At 34.9% G+C, this 23833-nt stretch overlaps 1 protein-coding gene and 1 long non-coding RNA gene across 8 annotated transcripts in view; one reads left to right on the forward strand and one right to left on the reverse strand.

The window, feature by feature from the left end:
* Positions 1-23833, forward strand: part of ZNF451 (zinc finger protein 451) — an 80118-nt gene that overhangs the window by 32532 nt on the left and 23753 nt on the right. For all 7 annotated transcript variants that reach the window (XR_007059234.1, NM_001031623.3, NM_015555.3 and 4 more), the window contains 6 exons: positions 2015-2140; positions 6010-6121; positions 10323-10473; positions 12025-12151; positions 18583-18736; positions 19229-19376. Coding sequence is in view for 6 of the 7 variants with exons in the window: in NM_001031623.3 (NP_001026794.1) it covers positions 2015-2140; positions 6010-6121; positions 10323-10473; positions 12025-12151; positions 18583-18736; positions 19229-19376 (818 nt within the window). In the remaining variant the exon portion in view is untranslated. The remainder of the gene's footprint in view (positions 1-2014; positions 2141-6009; positions 6122-10322; positions 10474-12024; positions 12152-18582; positions 18737-19228; positions 19377-23833) is intronic.
* Positions 1-23833, reverse strand: part of ZNF451-AS1 (ZNF451 regulatory antisense RNA 1) — a 57303-nt gene that overhangs the window by 7809 nt on the left and 25661 nt on the right. The gene's annotated exons all lie outside the window — the stretch shown is intronic.

Raw genomic sequence — 23833 nt, forward strand, 5'->3', positions numbered from 1 at the left:
GTAACAGATATTGGCAAGGTTCTAGAGAAAAGGGAACATTTATACACTGTTGGTGGAAATGCAAATTAGTTCATCTCCTGTGGAAAGCAGTTCAGAGATTTCTCAAAAAACTAAAAATAGAACCGTGATTCTACCCAGCAATCCCATTACTGGGTATATTATCCAAAGGAAAATGCTGGACATAGTGGCTCACACCTGTAATCCCAGCATTTTGGGAGGCTGAGGCGGGAGGATCACTTGATCCTAGGAGTTTGAGACCAGCTTGAGCAACACAGCAAGCCTCCATCTCTACAAGTAAGTTACCCAGGTGTGGTGGTGTGCACCTGTAGTCCCAGCTACTCAGGAGGCTGAGACAGGAGGATTGCTTGAGCCTGGCAGGTCAGGGCTGCGGTGAGTCATGATTGTGTCACAGCACTCCAGGCTGAGTGGTGAAATGAGACCCTGTTTCAAAAATAAATAATAAATCATTTCACCAAAAAGACACATGTATGTTCATAGCAGCACTATTCAGAACAGCAAAGACATGGAATCTACCTATGTGCCCATCATCAGTGGATTGGATAAAGAAAATGTGGTATATGTACACTGTGGAATACTACACAGCCATAATAAAGAATGAAATCATTATGCAAAGGTGCAGCAACATGGATGCAGCTGGAAGCTGCTACCCTAAGCAAACTAATGCAGAAACAGAAAAACGAGTACCATATGTTCTCATTTATAAGTGGGAGCTAAATCTTGGGTTCACATGGAGAATAAGTTGGGAACAATAAACACTGGGGACTCCAAAAGGAGAGAGAGAGAGGGTAGGGGGACAAGGGCTGAAAAACTTCCTATTGGATACTATGTTCACTCTCTGGGTGATGGGATCAGTAGAAGGCCAAACTTCGGCACCATGCAGTATACCCTTGTAACAAACCCTCACATGTACCCTTGAATGTGAAATAAAAATGAAAAAAAAAAAGTTTTATGTGTTATTTCATTATAGTTTTGTAGTTTTCTTCATAAAGATGTACACATTTTGTTATATTTATACCTAAGTATTTCATCTGGAGGGAGTACTAATGTACATAGTGATTTTTTAACTTCAAATTCCACTTGTTCATTGCTGATATATATGAAATCAGTTGACTTGTGTATTAACCTTGTATCCTGCAACCTTGCTATAATTGCTTATTAGTTCCAGGAATGATTTTGTTAATTATTTTGGATTTTCTATGTGGATGCAAACAAAGAGTTTTATTTCTTCCTTCGCAATCTGTGTATCTTTTATTTCTTTTTCTCATCTTACTTCATTAGCTAGGACTTCTAGTACAATGTTGTGAGTGGCAAGAGGGGATATCCTTGCCTTGTTCCTTATCTTAGTGTGAAGACTTTCTGTTTCTCATCATTAAATGTGTTGTTAGCTGTAGGTTTTTTGTAGATGATCTTTATAAAGTGAAGAAAGTTCCCTTCTATTCTTACTTTGCTGAGAGTTTTTATCATGAGTGGGTGCTGGATTTTGTTAAATGCTTTTTCTGCATCTATTAATATAGGATCATGTGTGAGGGCCCCTCTATGGCTGGCTCCCCCTGGAGTTTTTAACTCTCAGGCTCGTCCACGCTAAGCATCCATTAGAGTTTAGTTTCCTATGGAGGTTCCTGCTAGAAGGTTTCTGCTTTAGTAAGTCGATGTTCTTTATTTACCTCTCTCTCTCTCTCCAATTTTAGGGGTCGGCGCTTTGCCTGATGACCCTACCTCTCTGACAGATCTGAGAAGAGTTTACTCTTCAGCTTTTAAGTGAATAAAGATGATAAATGTCCTAGCAGCTCATTTGTCTAACTTCTTGAAAACCAAAGATGCTGGTGGATAATTGACAGACCTACAAAATACCACATAAAACCTACAATACACAAAATAGGTTCTTATAACTCAAGTAAATGGTTCTTTAGTATAGTAGCTGTTTTATGAATGGATGTATATTATCCAAATGCTAATTTTGTTAAAAGGAATGAAAATTTTTTTCATGTTATAGGAGAATATTAAACGTAAAGACCATATTGATTATCAGAAGGATAAAGTTGCTTTAACTCTGGCTCGTCTAGCCCGCCATGTTGAAGTGGAGAAACAGCAGAAAGAAGAGAAGAATAGAGCATTCAGAGTATGTGCTATTTTAATTGGTATTTTATATAATTAAAAAATTATTTATAATAAAGTTGGTAAAAAGCCTTTAATCAAAAAAAGATATGATTTAATCAAAGCTCAGTATGTACCCTAGATAGCTCATGAATTTAGTAGTAATTCATAATAGCTTTTTACATCTATTTTTAGTTTGTTGGATTCTTATCTGTATATAGGAAAAGAAAAAATAAAATTAACTGAGTGGACTTCATTTTTGAGAATTAAAAATCATGGATTTCTCAAAACAGATGAGCAATTAACAAGTTTCTGGTTATTTTATCATACGAGTGAAAAGAGTTTATCAGGGCTTTTATAGATATAAGCTGTTGAAAGATTATTTTCTACTGGATAGAACCAGATTGCTTTCTCAAATTTTAGCTTATCCTTCCAAATTAAATCCATTACTAAAAGGAAGAAATTTGAAGCAGGTTTGTAGATGAGCTGCTGTGTGGAAATGAAGCCCATTTTTAGAATCTTGCATGATATAATTTTTTTCCTTGACTTGCTTTAGAAGGCCCCAAATGAAATTACTTAAAGAATTCCCTCAATAGTGACAAATGTCCTTTAGGAGCAGAATGTTGATATATTGGGTAAAAAACTCCATACTAAAGTACAAAAATGGAAATTTAAATCATGCCTCTGGCCAGCAGCTGTTTAGATTTCAGTAGATCACTAGTTTTATAGACTTTGGGTTTCATTCTGTGAATGGACAATTTAGAGATTCTCCCAGGTCAGAATAAGCTCCATGATTTTGTAATTTTAACGTGCATGTTTTTGACTCCTTATTCCATTGGTTATTATAAAGTAATTTGTGTATTTCTGTAGCATCCTAATCTGTTATAAAATGGTCTTTAAATTTAGAAATAAGCTAGTTTGGGGGCTTTTACTTTATGATGTAATATCAATTAAATTAGACTATGGTATTCTAATTGTATGTTTTAAATGCTTATTGCATATATACACACACACATACACATATGCAAACACAGACAATATTATTTTTATCCTGGCAGAAACACTATTCAATTTTAAGGAAGTTCCCCACCCCCCTAGAACTATAAGTATGTTGTTTGATTTTTTTATGTGTCAAATCTCTTTGACAGAGGGATCATTTGCAAACTGTCTTACTTTCCCTCAGATTTCCTAAGTGATGCTAGCTTCTTTTCCCAGGCAGTCTTAATGGCTACATAGATAATAAAGTTTTTGTGATGAGCCCAGAATCTTGTATAGTTACTGTGACAACTAAGTTTTTTCTCAAGGGTAGTTTCAGCCTCCACCCATGTAAATGGTCATTCATTTTATTAAATACTTTACATTGAAGATTTTTTTTGAAATTTTGAAATTTTTAATTTTTTGTTTAACCAGTTGGAAAGAATAAATTTGTCTAGATTTCATTCTTCTTTAAGGAAGAAAATGACTCACATAGCAAGCTCATTGCTTGCTATCCAGCCATAATTTTGTTTTTCTTACTTTGATTCCCTTTATGGATTACTTATTTTTTAAAAGTAGATGACAAAACAACAACAACAACAAAAAACCACCCAGAAAGGAAGATATTGAAACTGAAATAGAAATAATTTTTGAAGAATTCTAGTGAATGATAATTCTGGTTAAAAATAGACACTATAGAAAATGTCTTTCAACTATTGTAGGCCTTTGTGAATTGTTGGTGTCTTCACTATTAAAGTAAGTTATCTTACTTTTGTGCTGGAGAGGTTTCAAAGAAAAAAAAAGGAATATTCATTAAAATCTTCACTGGAGCCAGACCTGGTGGCTCATGCCTGTAATCCCAGCACTTTGGGAGGACAAGGTGGACAGATCACCTGAGGTCAGTGGTTTGAGACAAGCTTGGCCAACATGGTGAAACCCCGTCTGTACTAAAAAGTTTTTGAAAGTTGCTTTGTGATAGAGAAAAAGGGTGGCTAATTTTAGGATGATTTCAATAAGTGTTTTTTGAGCATTGACTATGCATGTTCATAGAGTTCAAATTCTATTATAAGAAATGCCAGAGAACTTGAAAAAAAGATGTTTAATTTTAATTATTGGAAATTGTTAAAATAAGTATGCTAGTAGTTGGTATGTAGTAATATTTAATCTCAATTATATTACTTTAATTGAAGGGTTTTTATTGTAATTGATTCTTGCAAGGAACTTTGATAAATGGTCTAATTTAATATATAAGATGTCTTAGGATATATCTATCAAGGGCTATTGCTTTCTTTGGATAGGCTAACTTTGATTTTACTATTGTTTGTTTCTTATTGCATGTTATTCAGTATAGTGATCCTGTAGGATACACTTTGAAAAAGTATTTGGTGATTTATGAAGTTGGGATACTGCATACTCTATGTATGAAAAATAGGGGTGCACATTAGCACTTTAGGGCTTTAGTAGTCCTACATGAAAGTAACGTTTTAAATTTTGTGTTAAAACCAGTGTTTCTATACTTAATTTGATTACAGAGAATTTTAAAAAATGTATATAATGCATATTAACATTCATGAGAAGTAGTATTCTATGGCTGTAATTTGAACAATGTTATGTAGATTTTCTTCAGATTAAAATCTTGATCCACTTTTTCGCCTCATTTATCCTTCCTGATAGAAAACCCTGTTACATTGATAACTAGGCCATACATTATTATGGTTTATATCTTACAAATCCAGTGTTTCTGACTCTGATCCCTTTTGAAGTACATGTAAATCTTTTTGAGAGGCAGTATGATTATACTCGTTAGGGCATGAATTCTAGAATCAGATTGCCAGAGTTTGAATTCTGACATTATTATATATCCTTGGGCAATTTATTTGACCTCTGTGTACCTCAGGTTTTTCATCATAAAAGGGGAACAATAATACCTAAAATCTAAAGTCTTTTTAAAACTGCCTCACACATGGTTAGTGGCCAAAAAGTATTAATTTTAATACACATGATTGGAAAATACACAAATAGTTTTATGGATAATATAACTAGAAAGATTTAGGCTTTTAGCAATACAGAGCATCTAGTTCAGCATTGTCATTGGCCTGCTGCCTGCTATAAACAAAGATTTATTGGAACACTGCTACACTCACTTGTTTACATATTGTCTGTGGCTGCTCTCCTGCTACAATGGCACAGTTGAGTAGTGGCAGTAAAGAGTCTATGGCCTGCAAAGCCATAATGAAATATTAACTAGCCTTTGTGGAAAAGTTTGTTACCCCTTGGTCTAGATGGCAACAAATGCTTTACACTGGCACATATTAAGTGCTAATGAGTTATGTTATTAATATTACTCAGTGAACAAATACTTACTAGGCTCCTTCTGTATGTTTCAGATTAAATATGGAAAATTTGAAACAATACATAAAACTTTAAAAATGAAAATAATCCTTTACATAGAAATTCCTAGAGGTAGCCTTAATAACTTTTAATACATCTATTTTCAGGCTTTTTTTTCCTCTGCAGATACAGTTGCACATGGATTTGAAATTATTCTTTGTTTATATTTTGCCTCATTTGTTTAATACAGTTTGGCGACCTACTTGATATCCAAAGTATATTTCCACACCTTTGAAAAATTTGGTTAATGTTTTTAATGACGTCCATCAAATGTACATACCATAATTTACTTAAACCATACCCTGTTGTTAGGGGTGTAGGTTGTAGTAAATTTTGTGCAATAACACTGGTATACACATCTTAGAGCGTGCATTTTTATTTTGATGTATTTCTTTGTCATACATTTCTAGATGTGGAGTTCTGGGGATAAAAAGTAATCAGTATTTTCTGATCACTAATGTGTCAAAATCCTTTTCTCAAGGAAAACAGGGTAGTAATCTTAATTGAGTTTTTTCTTAATGTCTTCAGGAAAAAATTGATTTTCAGCATGCTCATGGGTTACAAGAATTGGAATTTATTCGAGGACATTCTGATACAGAAGCAGCAAGACTGTGTGTGGACCAGTGGCTAAAAATGCCAGGTATTCTTTAGAAATTACACTAAGGTTACCTAGCTTCCCCAAAGCCTTAAGGCAGAAAGTACGTCTGTTTTATGCTATTGCTAATAAGCATATAAGATATTAAATTTTGTTTCAGTGATACTAATATCACCTCATAATGGCCTACTTTATAATGGCCTGCTTTGCCCATTGTCTTTCTTCTTTGGCACAAGTATATTTGAGTATAAGCAATATAGGTCGTACCTGAGCTCATTAGATATTACTCATTTATTCATTTATATATTTAATAGTTATTGCATGAAGTAGCACATATGTCCATGGGAGGTGTGTAACAGATTATTTGAGGTCAGAAAAAGCTTCTCTAAGGAAATGGAATTTAAACTGAGATCTAGAGGATTCATGTTTATTTATTTATTCATCAGTGCAGCCTATGTAGATATTTAATAAGGAAGCATCCTCATAGACTTGTCAAAACATTGGGTAGCTTCTTCGTTACTAACTCTTTGCAGATCTGAGATTCCTTGAAGAGTTGCTGTGGAACATGTCTTACTCCACCGGATAATTTGGTGGAATTTTTAAGAGCCAGTAGGAGAGTCCCACCATGACAACTTTCCTGTCTTGTCTTGAAGAATATCTACTGAGCCTTTAAAGAGTTAGGATATCCACAGAAACTGTAGCTGTGGATTTAATCCAACAAAGTTTAATTACAAAAGTTCATGGAAATATCTATGCATGCAATGCTTAACTTTGTTGAACCTAGGTATCTTGGATTCTAAAGTTAGTTTTCAAGGGCTTTGCTTTGAATGGAATCAAATTGCCACTTATAAAAGAATTCTAATAATTTACATGTATTGGTATTTAGCAGTTCATTCCATTTGATACCTGACATAATCGATGTTTTAGACACTTGGCACCCCCTGAAACTATATTTTCTCCTTATCAACCTGCCTGTGCCTCGCAAACTCCCCTCCTGCCCCCAAAAACCTTTTTTCTTTGTTTTCTTCTTACTTGCCTGTGGGGTTTATACGTGGCCAACAAATAATACAGTATTAGGGATTGCTGAGTGAATATGGTTATTGTATATCATGTCCAATTATGTGAGAAGCTTATCTAGATTTATTCTATATAAGTTTGGTTGCTCAGCCATCTGTGATCTCAATACTTTATTCATTTCACTAATACAGTATTTATTATGTTCGATTGATCCGTTTATATGTCTGTCTCTTCCACCCAGCTATGTGCTTCTTGGGCACAAAGACCAAATCTTACTAATACTTTTTAGCGTCAGTTCCTTAAAAGAATGCTCAACATAGAGATACTCAATAAATGTTGGTTGAATTTTTATAGAGGTAGGCTATAAATATTTGCATAATGAACACAGAAAGGAAGCCTAGAACTTGGGCTCCAAATCTGACTGTTATTAAACAAAAAAATTATATGGCACTCCAGATCTACTTTGGCAAAAGACACATAGAAAATATGGTAAATGGTTTTGCCTCTTGGGGTGTTTTTTGAAAGCTTTTAGTTTTAAAAATCCCTCTTCATGTACATTCTTCTCAGTGGAAGAAGTTAATGACTAGCTCAGTGGTGTCATCTTTGCTGCGTCAGAATATTCTGGGACCTTTTAAACAGATGCCTACACCTTATTATCTCCAGAGATTCTTCTAGGGCATCTGTACTTTTGGGAAAGATCCCTAGGTGGATAGGAAAATGGACTAGAACTAGAAGACTTTATCATCTCTAGATCTCTTCTAAAAATTATCTCATGAGTCTGACACTTTCAAGTCCTATACAGAATGGTAGTCGGGCCAGTAATATGCCCTTCAAGCTTAATATCTGGCCTCCAGGTTGTCAGAATATTATAATGCATTGTAAAATGAATCTTGAGCATCTGTTTATGTATTTCCCTGAGCAGGTCAAGTGGGATCAAATGAGTTATTTAGCTGTGTCTTTATGGTACTTTCAAGATTAGTGTTTTCTCTGCCTTTCAGTACTGGCTTTTTGATGGCTGATAAGCTTAAGCCTGGAGTTAAGGTCTGTAGTTATGATCTTTTTTGTGTGATGGGCTCAGCTTTTTGCTTGGTCTCTGAGGCAATGTAAAAATAAAGTTTGGAATCTATTGCTTGAACAGCTGTGTAGTATTGGGCTATATTTGGTATGGTGCTATTCCATAAATGGGCTTTAGAGAGTGCTGAGATCCTTTAAGAGCATATAGCTGGGGAATAGAGAGGAATCACAGTTCTCTTTAATTATAGAGAGTGAGATTCTACTTCTCAGTAGCATTAAAGGACTCATTCAATCTATTTCAAAATACAGTACTCAGCTGTTATAATTCAGTTCTTTCATTAGAAGTATTTTAAGTACCTTATTTATAATTATTCTAATGTTGGACAATCCATTCTTTATGGGTTTTTAGAGTTGGCCAGTTTGCATAAATTTGAATACTTAGTATTATAATTTTTAAAAATGCTGTCTGTATTATTTAAGACAAAAGCTGTTTAAATCTCTGTATTTTGCCTTTCCATGGGGAAGCCTCCCCACCCCTCCACCCAGAAATTGGCTTCTCCAACTTTATTTTTATCCAGAGCCACTATTTATAGCTAAATAAAGGTCCTAATAGGAAACATCTGGAATGTGGGTGGACAATTATAACAGTTTTCATAATTCTTACTACATTAAGAATGTTAAAGTATATTGCCATTTTAATGCCTTGTTAAGACTAAAATATGATTAATTCCATGCTGTCCATTATTTGTTGTCAGAACATATTTATAAACATTTTGACAGTTTGATAGAGGTATTCCCCCAATAAAGACTAAAAGAGAGGAAAAGCAATTAAAACCTTAATCATATATAACCATTTTGGGATTTAAAAATCATATTGTCTTAAGGGAATAATTCTATTTAAATGCTTAGGGGCTTTGTAGAAAATTCAATAAAGATAAATATTTAGCTTTTTGTTGTATGAAATATTCAAAGCATTTGAGTGAAATTAGTCCACAAGAGATAGTAATAAAACAGAGAGTAATCAAACTGTCTGTGAATCAGAATACTTGTGGTTGTTTTGCAATTGTTTTTTATACAACTTAACTGTTTAAATTTTTCTTCATATATCATGCGTTGGGAGTTGCCCCGAGGACATTTGGCTGGGGGATTCATCTACAAGTTGTGTGACCTTAAGATCAAAATTATAAAGAAAGAAAGGGATGAAGAATGGACCAGGATAAAGGAGGATTAATTAAGAGAAAAAAATTGTGGACAAACTGTTTCCTAATTGGCTTTTTAAAGGGAAAAAGAGAAGGGACAAAATAGGATAAGTAGAAAGGGGAGAGGTATCAACAATAAGTAAATCTCTGCTTTGTGTTCTATAAATGTGTTATCCCTTACACTTGTATTACTTGATGTGTCTAGACTGGAACTGATTGATCAGTGGCTTGATTCCTCAGAAAATAACACACTTATCCTCCTTGCTTCCCTGCTTTCTTCATTCCATCCTCTCTACCCCAGTTACATTGTGTAATATAATTTTCATAGAGCTCAGACCCTCTATAATATAGCTAAATTTATAACACAGTTGAAATAGTTAAAAGAGAAAATAAGAATTAGAGGAAAAGATCTGGCTGGGCACAGTGTCTCATGCCTGTAATCCCAGCACTTTGGGAGGCCAAGGTGGGAGGATCACTTCAGGCCAGGAGTTTGAGACCAGCCTGGGCAACATTGAGAGACCCTGTCTCTACAAAAAATAAAAATATTAGCTGGGCATGGTGGCATGTGCCTATAGGCCCACCTGCTCAAAATGAAGGGAGTAGGGGCGTAACCTTCTAATGCATTTGGTCTTTAACATTTTTTAGCTGTTGAGCTTAAAGAAAAGGATTTTTTTTCCCTAAAGGGAAAAAAGCTACTTGGAGCTGGGCATGGTGGCGTGCTCCTGTAGTTTGAGCGACAGCAGGAGAATTGATTGAGCCTGGGAAATACAGCAAGATGCCCATCTCAAAAAAAAAAGAGAATGCTACTTGGTGATATTAAGGGCTTTTTTTTGGTCATAACTTATTTACTTTTAGGTTATTATATCTTTTATAAGAGAGGTTTTAAACAATTATAATTAGCATCATCCAGTTGATGCTATGTCATAATTTTCATTGTTTTGTCCTAATTTTGATCACTAGCCCAAAGGATAAGTATCTGAAATAATAACCTAAGAATTCATATTCTGATGATGCAGGACTCAAAACAGGCACAATTAATTGTGGAACAAAAAGTTCATTCCGAAGAGGAGGCCACACGTGGGTGTCTGGGAAACCAATTTTATGTCCTATAATGCACTGTAACAAGGAGTTTGACAATGGGCACCTTCTCTTAGGACATTTGAAAAGGTAAGTAGGATATTCATAATAGTGAATGCTGAAGATCTAGTGAGCTACCAAGTGATTTCATAAAATGAAAGCGTAATGCTCCTTTGCCATTATGATTATATAGCTTTATATTCCAAACTCAAATTATTTTGTGCCATTATGATATAATTTTTTCATAATTGATGAAGTCAGATTTTTCTAGTGGGTGTAGCTTTCAGCTTTATGGGTATAGCTTTTAAATATTTATTTTTCCCTGATACAGCTTATAAAGTTCTAAACAGACTTTCTCCATCAAAATCCAGATAGGTTAGTTTTAGAGAAATCCAGCCCATAAATGTAAATTTCAAGAGACAAGGAGCGTGTACAGACATTTGGTCTAGCCTGAAGAAAGGTAATAGGCATTACAAAATAAATGTTAAAAGCAAACTGATGTAAGCAAAATTAATAATAAAAATTCTATTTATTGAAACCCATTTTATCAATTTACTGAGTTTGGTGGTTTTTGTTTGTTTGTTTGTTTGTTTGTTTTTTTGAGACAGGATCTCACTCTGTCGCCCAGGATGGAGTGCAGTGCAGCTTCCACCTCCTGGGCTCAAGGGATCCTCCCATCCTCCCATCTCAGCCTCCTGAGTGTCTGGGACTACAGGTTGTGCGCCACCACACCCAGCTAATTTTTGTATTTTTTGCAGAGACGTGGCTCTGCCATGTTGCCCAAGCTGGTCTTGAACTCCTGAGCTCAAGCATTCTGCCCACCTCAGCCTACCAAAGTGCTGGGATTACAGGCGTGAGCCACCGCGCTCGGCCAGTTTACTGAATTTTTGAATAGTGGAGCTTGAGAAAGGTATCAAGGGAAGGTTGTATTAAACATTCGACTCCCCATAGCCTCCCTTTCTAATAGCTGAAGAATGGGAAATTGAGAGTTTGGGGCTCTAAGCCATTGTCTTTTCCATATGTCTCACCCTACTTATGCCTTACCTTATCAAGAGAAGCTTCTAGAGGGAGTTGTAGCATTCTATAAAAAACCAGGTAAAGTCAAAGCTGGACCTGGGGTCGGGGAGGGAACAAAATTTGATAGCATACTATACCTTAGCTAAAGTGCTCCAGGCAGTTTAAAATAATGCAGATTTATTAAATGGTAAAAATGAACATTAAAAGCCATTATGGGAAACAAGTGTACTAGAAATCTTAGCATGAGATTATTATTGCAGTGATGTATTTAAAGTTAGTTGTGAGTCTTATGGTAACCAAGGCAAGAAGTAAAAGATGCTGGACTTACAATTTTCAAACGAGAAGTTTACCAGTTTGGTAAGAAATGTCTAAATCTATTTTACCGGATATTTAGTACATATGAAATCTTGCACTAACTGTTGGTCACTATCTGAGGGAATTGCTGAGCATATGGGAACCACTTGATATTTACTGTATATGAAGAACATTACTTAATATTTCAGTAGAAAAGTGCAAAGTTCTGAATGTGTGTGTATGTGTTTAGCTTCACAAATGAAGCGACATAGTTGTTTCCCTAGAATGTAGATTTATCTAATATTACCTCTTACCTCTTTTGCTGAGTAGGTTCGATCACTCTCCATGTGATCCAACAATTACACTACATGGACCTTTCTTCAGCTCCTTTGCTTGTGTAGTATGTTATAAAAAATTTGTTACTCAACAACAATATAGAGATCACCTTTTTGATAAGGTAAGAGCATGTCCTAAATTAAAAGTATTATTTTTCTAGATAGCCATGGAGTTAAGTGGAGGTTTTTTCCTGCTGTTCTTAAGCTTGCAATTACCAGTGATACACATAAGTATCAAAACTGTAATTGTCAATTGAAAATAAAATGATTTGGGCCATTTAGTTATTATAGGCAGGTAAACTTGATACCTTACAGTCAGCAGTCCTAGAGATTATCATCAAAATCCTTTCATGGAGTTGCTCTATGAAATTAAATTACCTTGTTCAAGATGCTCTGAGTGAGTCACTTGATGAGAACCAGAACCCTGTTCTTAAGTCCACTGTCTTACACTGCTTGTTGAAATGTTGGCGCCATATAGTAAATGACAAGTTATTAATGCTAGTTTTTGAGGAATATAACTAGTATTTAAAAAGCTATGTCATATAATTCTAAGTAAGTGTTAAATCTTAAGAGACATGAGTTGATTCATGGATATGCACATCCATGTAATACAGAACTCTAATGGGTTTTTACCATATTTGATAGTAGATAACTTTAATGACTTACTAACATTGCAGAAGTAATGTATGTTCATTATGAAAAATTTTTAAAATATTAACAAAAAGACAAGAAGTCATCCTTAATCTCACAGAGATAAGGACTGGGATTAAGATTTTGATATATGTGTTTTTAGTATTACTCCATATATAGATAAATGTTTTTACATAAGATAAGATATCTAAATTGTTCTGTGATTTAAAGCAGTGTGTTGCAAACATAAAAGCTTAAATATTCATCGAATCAATGCATACATTTCTACATTTTAAATCATTGAATTGTTTTCTTCTGTATGAATATAGTATTAATTTAATAAATTTCCCATTGGATGTATTGTTTGTTTTCTATTATTAAAAACTATGCCATATTAAATATTCTGTTAACTAAAAACCTTTGAGAATATCCATATTTGGATATTTGAGTAAATATCAAATTGGATTTACCGAATAAATATTAGATTTTGAAATAGTAAAACATTTATTTAGTTAATGTTTTCAGAATTTGCTTCTATCTAGAGCTATACCTGGAAAGTAACATGGAGAATAGCTTGGATTCTGTGTAGGTTCACAGCAGAGAATTAAAGCTTGCATTCTAAGTATATCTAATTGAATTCTGCAGTCCTCCCCATCTCTGTCCTGGCACTAGAGAACATTCCCAGAACAGATGTGCATCTTGAAGCAGATTTTATTTTACACTGACTCATTAGTTTTTGGAGAGCCTGCGTCTTGTTCAACATTGACTAGGCACTGTAGTAGGGTAGTCTTGGGGATTCCTAACAAAAATAAATAGTAACATGATCATAAAGACACAGGATTTTAAGCTTGATATTGGCAAGAAGAAACTATTATAGAACAGTGACATGATGAAAATAACACATTATTCTTTTAAAGTTAGAAGGACTTCTAATTCTATAGCCCAATTCCTTCCTTTTTTTTAGAGACCCTGAAGAGACTGAGTGGCATTAGAATGGCAGTATTGTTCAGAATGGATTCAAAGATGTGGACAAAGAGACCAGTTTAGATGACTTTTACAGTAATTTAGCTCTGAGATGAGAGAATTGTTTGACTTAGGTAATGGCATTCAGAATGAAGACCTTAAAGTGAAACCAAAAGACATATTGAAGAAAGAAATGATAGGGTTATCCATTTCCATGACAAATGGAAGATTTGGGGAAGGAAGGGAAAAAGGGTGAAAGAGAACTGCATTCCGTACTTTAGGGTTTGCAGTAGGTTACTGATGTTCTGCATTTTCCAGAATTAGAGTTCTTTCAGGACATGTTTCCCTATTCATATACTGAGTGTTTTCTCTACTATAATGAGTATATATGTCTGTTTTCTTTAGTAAATTTGAGTAGGTAGTTTAAAATGAATTTTTTCACTTATTTTTTTCCCCAAATTTCATTAATTTGTTTTTTCTTTTTTCTCGGAATCACACATTCCATGCTGTTTTGCACTCCTTTTTGCCGTCTCTCTAGGAAGTAGATTTATGACCTTCAGCGTTCTGAAAAGCAGTATGGTAACATAGAAAGGGCAAAGGCTTTGGTATCAGACAGACCTGGGTTCCACTGTTACTATTATTTGCTTCATATTCTTAACAGGTTACTGAATCTGTGAGTTTAGTTTCTTCATCCCTAAAATGGTATCGTTATGCTTATGTACGAGATTGTTAAGAGAAAATGTAATACTCTATTTCAGGCCTGACCTGTAACCTTCAATGATTGCTTATTCCTTGACATTTGTGTCACCACAAGGACTCTAAAGAAAACTAGTATGCATGGGGGGTTGTAATTGCCTCTTTTAAATCAACAAGAAGAGGTCACTAGAAGATTGTATAAGCCTCGCTGTTTTTTATAGGTATGAATTCTGTTTTGTAAAGAGGCAGTCCCCAATGGAAAAAAGTCAAATTATTCACAATTTGCATTGTTTTCCTTGCTCCCCTCCCCCATTTTCTTTCATCTTCAATTTCTTCACTCTAGACTAGGCCTTCTCAAACTTAAATGTACACACATATCACTTGGAAATTTTGTTAAAATGCAGATTCTGACTCAAGATGTCTCAGGTGGAGCCTTAGATTCATATTTCTAACAAGCTTTTAGGTGATGCCATTGCTGTCGTTCCTTGAGTCATACTTTGAGTAGCAAGTTTCTAGTGGCTTTTGACACCTAAACCCATCCAATGGCTATTACATCACCAGATAGCACCCTGCTTTTCTCCCTGTTGTGTGATAGTGGTGGTCGATATACTGTGAGCTCCTTTGTACCTCAGTGTCATTTGTGAGTCTGTTGAAGCTACCACTGGTTATTCTGTTTCTAGGGCTACTGTATCATCTAAGGTGACTTTTCTCCTTGCCTAACCCATCTTCCTCATCCCTAGGCAACCACTAAGCTACTTTGTGTCTCCATGGATTTATCTATTGTGGATATTTTATATAAAAGGAATCACACAATATACAGCCTTTGTGACTAGATTGTTTCACTTCCCATAATGTGTTTCAAGGCTTATTCATATGGTAGCATGTATCAGTACTTCATTTCTTTTCATTGCCAAATAATATTTCATTGTAAGGACATATGCCGCATTGTATTTAACAGTTCATCAGTTGATGGACATTTGGGTTGTTTCTACTTTTTGGCTGTTACGAACAATGCTTCTATAAACCAACATCTAAGTTTTGTGTAAAAATACGTTTTAATTCCTCTAACGAGTTAAATTGCTAGGTCATATGGTACCTTTTTAATTTTTTTGAAGAAGTGCCAAACTGCTGTCTAGTGCACTGCACCATTTTACTTTCCCGCCAGCAATGTTTGTGGGTTTCAGTTTTTAGCCAGTCTAGTGGGTGTGAAATGGTATTTTGGTTCTGCCTTTTTTTTTTTTTTAAGACGGAGCCTCGCTGTCTTGTGCAGGCTGGAGTGCAGTGGTGCAGTTTCGGCTCACTGCAACCTCTGCCTCCCGGGTTCAAACGATTCTTCTGCCTCAGCCTCCTGGGTAGCTGGGATTACAGGCGCCTGCCACCACACCCGGCTAATTTTTTGTATTTTTAGTAGAGACGGCGTTTCACCACGTTGGCCAGGCTGGTCTCGAGCTCCTGACCTTGTGATCTGTCCGCTTCAGCCTCCCAAAGTGCTGGGATTACAGGCATGAGCCATCATGCCCAGCCCTACTTTTTTTATTGTACAAATTTGTATGGTGTCTTTTAATGTAACCAGAAATATGGTAAAAAGGAATTGAGCACTTTAACTTATCAGATATCTTATTTCCCATTCCTTTTCCCAGTTTGTAGAATGTATTTGCAGCTATGCCATATATATATATATATATATATATATATATATATATATGTGTGTGTGTGTGTGTGTGTGTGTGTGTGTGTGTATATATATATATAAAATTTTTTTTTTTTTTTTGAGAGAGAGGTGGTCTCAAATTCCTGGGCAAAGCAGTCCTCCCACCTCAGCCTCCTTAAGTGCTGGGATTACAGGTGTGAGCCACTGCTCCTGGCCAAGTATGCCATATTTTTGTAATAAGTATATTCTAATAAAATTTTATGTAGAATCACATTTTGGTTCTGTTGAGCAAATCATTTAAACAACTTTATGTGAGTTCATTTATAACTCACAATTAAACTAAAAATGATTTAATGAGTTTAGGGTTCTTCAAGTAGGAGAAATATGTATAAATTGGTGGTTACTAAATGCCTTTATTGCTCTTATCATTTAGAATCTTCAAATTGGAATGAAAATGTCCTCCTCGGTGTTATTTCTTCTGTGTGGCACTCATCAAATTAAAACAGGAGGGGAGTGTGGTGGGGAGGGAGTAGTGAAAGCAGCATATAATTCATAACCAAGATTGGAAAGCTGGGTTTAAATGGAAGTTTGTCTTTTCTATGGAGGGGTACAACTTGGGAGGAGGGGTAAGTTGGTTGACTTATCAGAACTTCAATTTTCTCATTTCTAAACAATGAAAATGGTACCTCATGGGATTATTATGAGGATTAAGTAGGTAAACATATTTAGAACCTCAGTGTGGTTCCTGACATGTGCTCGGTATAAATAAAAATTTTTTATCTCTCTTCTGGTTGCATCTCATAAGCACTACACAAACTATACTGATGGTTCTAGTGTTAATGATAGTAAATATGAGGCACAATACAATGTTTGAGGCTATTACTCTAAAGACCATTAACAAGAAGTTAAATTATATTTATAACAAGCACACACAAATATACATACACTTATAAATACACACTTTTTAAAATTTCCTATTTTAAGGTAGAGGAGGCTCTTAACAAGGTTTAGAAACTTAGATGCTAGAAAAGACATACTTATTTGACTGTGTCAAATTTAAAAAGTGACCATAGGCCGAGCACAGTGGCTTATGCCTGTAATCTCAGCACTTTGGGAGGCCAAGGCAAGAGAATTGCTAGAGTCCAGGAGTTAGAGACGAGCTTGGGCAACATGGAAAGACCTTGCCTTTACAAAAAATAAAAAAATTAGCCGGGTGTATTGGTGTATGCCTGTGGTCCCAGCTACTTGGGAGGCTGGGATAGGAGGATTGCTTGAGCCCAGGATGTCAAGGGTACTAGTGGGCCAGCCTGGGTGACAGAGTGAGCTCGTGTCTCAAAAATAAATAAAGAAGACTATAAACAAAATAGATATTTGAAAAAATATTGCAAAATGGAAAATGAGGCAGAGAATTAATTTCAGTAACAAAGGACTGATACAAACTGACCAGAAGGAGAAAAAACAAAACAATTGAGAAATAAAGCTAAATAATATGAATAAAAAATTCACATAAGAACACATCTGGGTAGCCAAAAAATGTATGAATAAATGCTCAAACTCACTTATAGATAGGAAATGCAAATTAAAGTAGCAATGAAGGCCAGGCACGGTGGCTCATGCCTGTAATCCTAGCACTTTGGAAGGCCAAGGCGGGTGGATCACTTGAACCCAGAAGTTCGAGACCAGCCTGGGCAACGTGGGGAAACCCTGTCTCTACCAAAAATACAAAAATTTGCCTGACAAAAATGAAAAAAATCTGTAATATATATTACTGCCAGGCTCATTCAGTACTAGGGGATATGTGAATTGGTAGAGCCTTTTTGAAAACCAGTCATACAGTGTCTTTTAATATTCAAATATATATACCCATTAGCCCTGTAGGGCCACTCTTGAGAATAAGAAAAAAGCACCTACCAGTAAGGATATATATTCAAGGATGTTTACAAGATCATTATTTCTAGTGGGAAAAAAAAACCCAAAACTTAAAAAAAGAAAAAAACTGAAAATAAATGTTGACTGAGTTGAATAGATTGACACCATGGCGTAGTTTGCAACCATTAAGAAGCATTAATTAGAGATATACCAGCTGATTTTTAGGGATTTCCTTTAGGTACTATGGAATGAGAAAACTAATAGGCAGAAGAGCCTATAAAATAATATTTGATAAAACAATGACATTCCCCCTTATTTCTATGTGTCTTTGTAACTGAGTAAGCATGGATAAATTTGTGGAAGAATAATAATGCAGGGTAGAGTGAATAAAGCAAAACATTAGGAAAAGTGTATGTGGTGTGATCACATTTATGCATTTATATATTACATGTGAATGTGTATGTAAAAATGAAAACTATATAGAAAGCAAATGTTCTTCTATATTTGTTACTACAACAGATGGCCATAATTTGGTTTTGAGGAAAAAAAACTAAAAATTTGACATTTGGGACCTCGGTTATGATAAAAGTTCCATAATTCACACTCAGGGAAGAACATCTTTCATGTTAAAAATTGATACAGGATATTGCGAATAAACAACAAATAGGAAATTTTGAAAGTTTTTTTCAAGAACTTGAGTGTTTATTTTAGTTTTCCATAATACAGCTTTGTCTTATATTTTAGGAAGCCACAGATGATGGACATAACAACAACCTTCTTCCTCAGATTATTCAGTGTTTTGCATGTCCAAATTGCTTCCTTCTTTTTAGCAGAAAGGAGGAGTGTTCAAAGCATATGTCTGGAAAGAATCATTTCCATCAGAGTTTCAAACTGGGTGGTATGTTAATACTCTCTTCTGCTGAAAATTAAACTACTTGAATCTTTGCTGATTTATCATACTTCTCAGATCATTCTTGAGATTACATATCCTCATCTTAGTTTTAGAACTATGAAAGTAAAAGATTATCTCAATTCCTACTTAAAAACAAAGATTCTTAATATTTATTTGTACGTATGAGTAAGGCTTACTAACTTTGAAGACTGAAGAAATCCTGGGAAGCAAATATTTATTCAGGATAATGTTATGTTATATCATGATATCTTGGAAGTTTTCTGTTTCTCGGCATTTAAGACTCAAATTTTAATTTGAGTATAAGTAAGGCATTCTTTGTATTTAAGGCTAGAAAGTGGCTTCCCTTAGATTTTTATTGCCAAAATAACTGTCTTCTTTTACTTACTCCAACTAATGTTGAGAAGGGCTGAGGGGAGGAAGGTTGGGTTACTCTGTACTCAAATAACTTTGCAAATTATAGTTTATTTTGTCTTTCAGATAACAAAGGAATTGCACATCCAATATCTTTCCCATCTTTTGCAAAGAAACTTTTGATCTCTCTGTGCAAAGATGTTCCCTTTCAAGTTAAGTGTGTGGCCTGCCACAAGACACTGCGTTCCCACATGGAGCTCACTGCCCATTTCAGGTTTGTATTGGTCTGGAGCTGTAAAGGAATACGGATGAGTGTTTGCCAGTGAGAAGATTCAACAAATACATTTTCTTTCCATGTTTCTCTCCTTTTAAAATGAGAATATACAGTTGCCTGGAAATTAGCCAAATTTAACATAGTGAGAGAAGTTAGAGTTGTGGAAAACGTGGATATATTGATATTCTGCAAGTGTAAAGCAAGCTAACAGTTCTAAGTTTTGTGTATGTTCTTCTGTGTGTGTTCTGTAAGTATGAGTAGGAGAGGAAAGGGTTAAAGTAGAACCTTGGCTTTAAGTCAACCAGAATGGAAAGTATCATATACATTTGAAAGATTAAATCTCAATGAAAGGCCAAATTTATCAAGTAACCAAGAAAGAGTCCAGTATGATTTGTGATTGCCATAGTATCTGTGAGATTTATCTATATTGTTTAGTACATTGTTCCTTCTTATTGGTAAGTAGTATTGTGTGAATATAGCACAATTTGTTGATCCATTCCCTTGTTGATAGATAGTTGGGTTGTTTACAATTTATAGCTTTTATGAATAAAGCTGCTTTGAATACTTTGCACAGGTCTTTTCATGGTCATATGTTTTCATTTCTCTTGGATGGACATTGAAAAGTGGAATTGTTGGTTCAGAAGTAGGTTTATATTTAACTTTATGAGAACCTACTAAATATCCAAAGTTGGTCGTATTAGTTTCATTCCTACAGGTAAGGTATGAAAGTTCTAGTTACTCTTCACCCTTGCTAACATTTGATATTGCCACTCTTTTTCATTTTAGCTATTCTTGTGTCTCATTTTAGTTTATTATGTGCATTTTCTTGATAAACAATGATGTTGGGCACTTTCTTGTGTTTATGGGCTATTTGTTTATCTTTGTGAAATCTCTGTTCAAGTCTTTTGCCAGTCTTCAAAATTGGATTGTTTGCCTTCTTAATAGTGAGTTGGGGTTCTTTATATATTCTAGATACAAATCTTTTGTCAGATTCGTATCTAGAATACAGGAATTTCTAGAATATACAAATATTTATGAGTATATTTTCCTGTGATTTTGCATATTCATATTTTTAATTATACCTTTTGATGAACAGAAGCTTTTCTTTGCATTAGGTGTATAATTTGTTGATTATTTTCTTCTTTTATGGTTATGCTTTCTGTGTCCTGAGAAACCCTTGCCTCTTCTTGCTTAAAGAATGTATTTTATTTCCCTAAATTCAGCTTTGATATTTTTAAATATTTATGTTTATTTCTATAATCTATTTCAAATTTTTGTTGATTTTTACAACAACCATTGTCTGGTTTCCCTGGCAATTCTCTGTTGTTTGCCCATTTTCTAGTTCATTGATTTCTGCTCTTTAAACTTTGAGTTTAATTTGCTTATCTTTGTCTAGCTCTTAAAGGTAGAAGTTTAGATTGACTTTGGATCTTTGTTTTCAATATAAACATTTAAAAATATAAATTTCCCACTAAGCACTGCTTTACCTGCATGCCACAGATGTTGATAAGTTGTGTTTTCATTTTTATTCAGTTAAAAATACGTATCTCTTTTTTCCTCATTTAACCATAGAGTTACCATATGATCCAGCAATTTCTGCTTGTTGACAGCCAAGAGCAAAGTGAACTTGCTCTTGTTCACAAATACTTGTATGTTTGTTTATAGCAGCATTATTCATAATAGTAAAAAAATGGGAACATCCCAAATGTCTATCAGCTGACAAATGGATTTTTTTAACTGGACATATCCATACAAGGGAATATTATTTGGCCATGAAAAGGATTGAAATCCTGATTACATGTTACAACCTCAATGAACTTTGAAAACATTATGCTAAATGAAATAAGCTAGTCACAAAAAGTCCATTTATATGATTCCATTCACATGAAATTCCAGAATAGGGAAATCTGTAGACACAGAAAGTAGTTGCTTAGGGTTCAGTGGTTGCTTGGAGTTGGGGAGCATGGCGAAAAGGGAGGTGGGGAGGTGATAGCTAAAGGGCATGGGTTTTCTTTTTGACATAACACAATGTTCTAAAATTAACTATTGATGGTTGCACATATCTTTATGTGAAAAATAGTTGAAATTATATACCCTAAATGGATGAATTATATGGTATATGAATTATGAATTATATCCTTTTTTTTTTTTTTTTTTTTTTTAAAGATAGGGTCTCTGTCTGTCACCTAGGCTGGAGTGCAATGGTGCAATCTCGGCTCACTGCAACCTCCACCTCCCAAGTTCAAGTGATTCTCGTGCCTCAGCCTCCCAAGTACCTGGGACTATAGGTGTGTGCCACCATACCTGGCTGAGTTTTGTATTTTTTGTAGAGACGGGGTTTCACCATGTTGGCCAGGATGGTCTTGAACTCCTGACCTCAAGTGATCTGTCCGCCTCAGCCTCCCAAAGTGCTGGGATTACAGGCATGTGCCACCGCGCCTAGCCGTGAATTATATCTCAATAAAGCTGTTTAAAAATGTTTTGGAAAAATGTTATCTTTGCCCTTTTGATTTATTGTTTGACCTATAGGTTTATTAGAAATGTGTTGCTTGGCTGGGCGTGGTGGCTCACACCTGTAATCCTAACACTTTGGGAGGCTTAGGCAGGTGGATTGCCTGAGCTCAGGAGTTCGAGACCAGCCTGGCTAACATGGCGAAACCCCATCTCTACTAAAAATACAAAAAATTAACCGGGTGTGGTGGTGAGCGCCTGTAATCCCAGCTACTTGGTGGCTGAGGCAAGAGAATCGCTTGAACCTGGGAGGCAGAGGTTGCAGTGATCCAAGATTGTGCCACTGCACTCCAGCCTGGGTGACAGAAGGATTTTCTGTCTCCAAACACACAAAAAAGATATGTGTGGCTTAACTTCTAAAGGTTTATAGATGTTACATTTAGGTATTTAATTTATAAACATTTAGGGATTTGTATTATTTTTTGTTTCCAATTTAATTCCACAATAATTAGAGAACATATTTTGTACAGTTTTTTTCTTTTGAAATATATTAAATGTATAAAATGGTAGCAGGTCTGTTCTCTCTGGAGTTTAGTAGTGAAGACACAGTTGTTCTATTTTTTTATTTTCCTAGGGAAGTTGATTTATTTTGAGTTAATTTGTGGAATAGTATGTGGTTTTATTGAGCCTAGTTCTTCAGTGCAAAAGCAACTAGGGGCATGACATTTGTCTGACATAAAATTAATCAGTTCTTTATTTTTATTTCTTATAGATTCAGGGGGTACGAGTGCAGTTTTGTTACATGGGTATATTGTGAAGCTCAGATATCTGGGCTTTTAATGTCACTATCATCCAAATAGTGAACATTGTACCCAATAGGTTATTTTCCAACCCTCACCCATTTCCCAACCTCCCACCTTTTGGAGTTTTCAATATCTGTTTATTATTCCACTCTATATGTCCACGTGTACCCATTGTTTAACTCCCACTTAGAAATGAAAATTTGCAGTATTTGACATTCTGAGTTATTTCACTTAGGATAATGGCCTCCAGTTCCATACATGTTGCTTCAAAAGGCATGATTTCATTCTTTTTTATGACTCAGTAGTATTCCATGGTATATATACCATATTTTCTTTATTCAATAATCCATTGATGGACACTTAGGTTGATTCCATTCATTATCGCTATTGTCAATAGTGCTGCGGTAAATGTACAAGTGTAGGTGTCTTTTTGATATAATGCTTACTTTTTCTTAAGGTAGATACCAGTAGTGGGACTGCTGGATCAAAGGGCGGTTCTATTTTTAGTTTTTTAAGAAAGCTCCATATTGTTTTCCATAGAGGTTGTACTAATTTACATTTCCATCAACAGTGTATAAGTGTTCCCTTTTCTCTGTATCCTTGCCAACATCAGTTGTTTTTTGACTTTTTAATAACAGCCATTTTGACTGGTGTAAGATGGTATCGCATTGTTTTAATTTGAAGTTCTCTGATGATTAGTAATGTTGAGTATTTATGGGCCAGTTGTATGTCTTCTTTTGAAAAATGTCTGTTCATGTCCTTTGCCCACTTCTTAATGGGATTATTTGTGGATTTTTTTCTTGTTAAGTTCCTAGTAGATTCTGAATATTAGTCCTTTGTCAGATGCATAGTTTGCAGATATTTTCTCCCATTCTGTAAGTTGTCTGTTTATTCTCTTGATTATTTCTTTTGCTATGCTTAAGCTTTTAAGTCCCATTTGTCTATTTTAGGGCTTTGTTGCATTTGCTTTTGAGGACTTAGTCATAAATTTTTTGCCTAGGCCATTGTCCGGAAGGGGTTTTCCTAGGTTTTCTTCTAGAATTTTTATAGTTTCAGGTCTTAGCCTTTAATCCATCTTGAGTTATTTTTTGTATATGATGAAAGATATGGGTTCAGTTTTATTCTTCTGCATATGGCTGTCAAGTTTTATCAGCACCATTTATTAAATAGGGTGTCCTTTCCCCAGTGTCTATTTTTGTCAAT

The sequence above is a fragment of the Homo sapiens genome, chromosome 6 (assembly GCF_000001405.40).
Source record: "Homo sapiens chromosome 6, GRCh38.p14 Primary Assembly".
NCBI classification, from domain to species: Eukaryota; Metazoa; Chordata; class Mammalia; order Primates; family Hominidae; genus Homo; species Homo sapiens.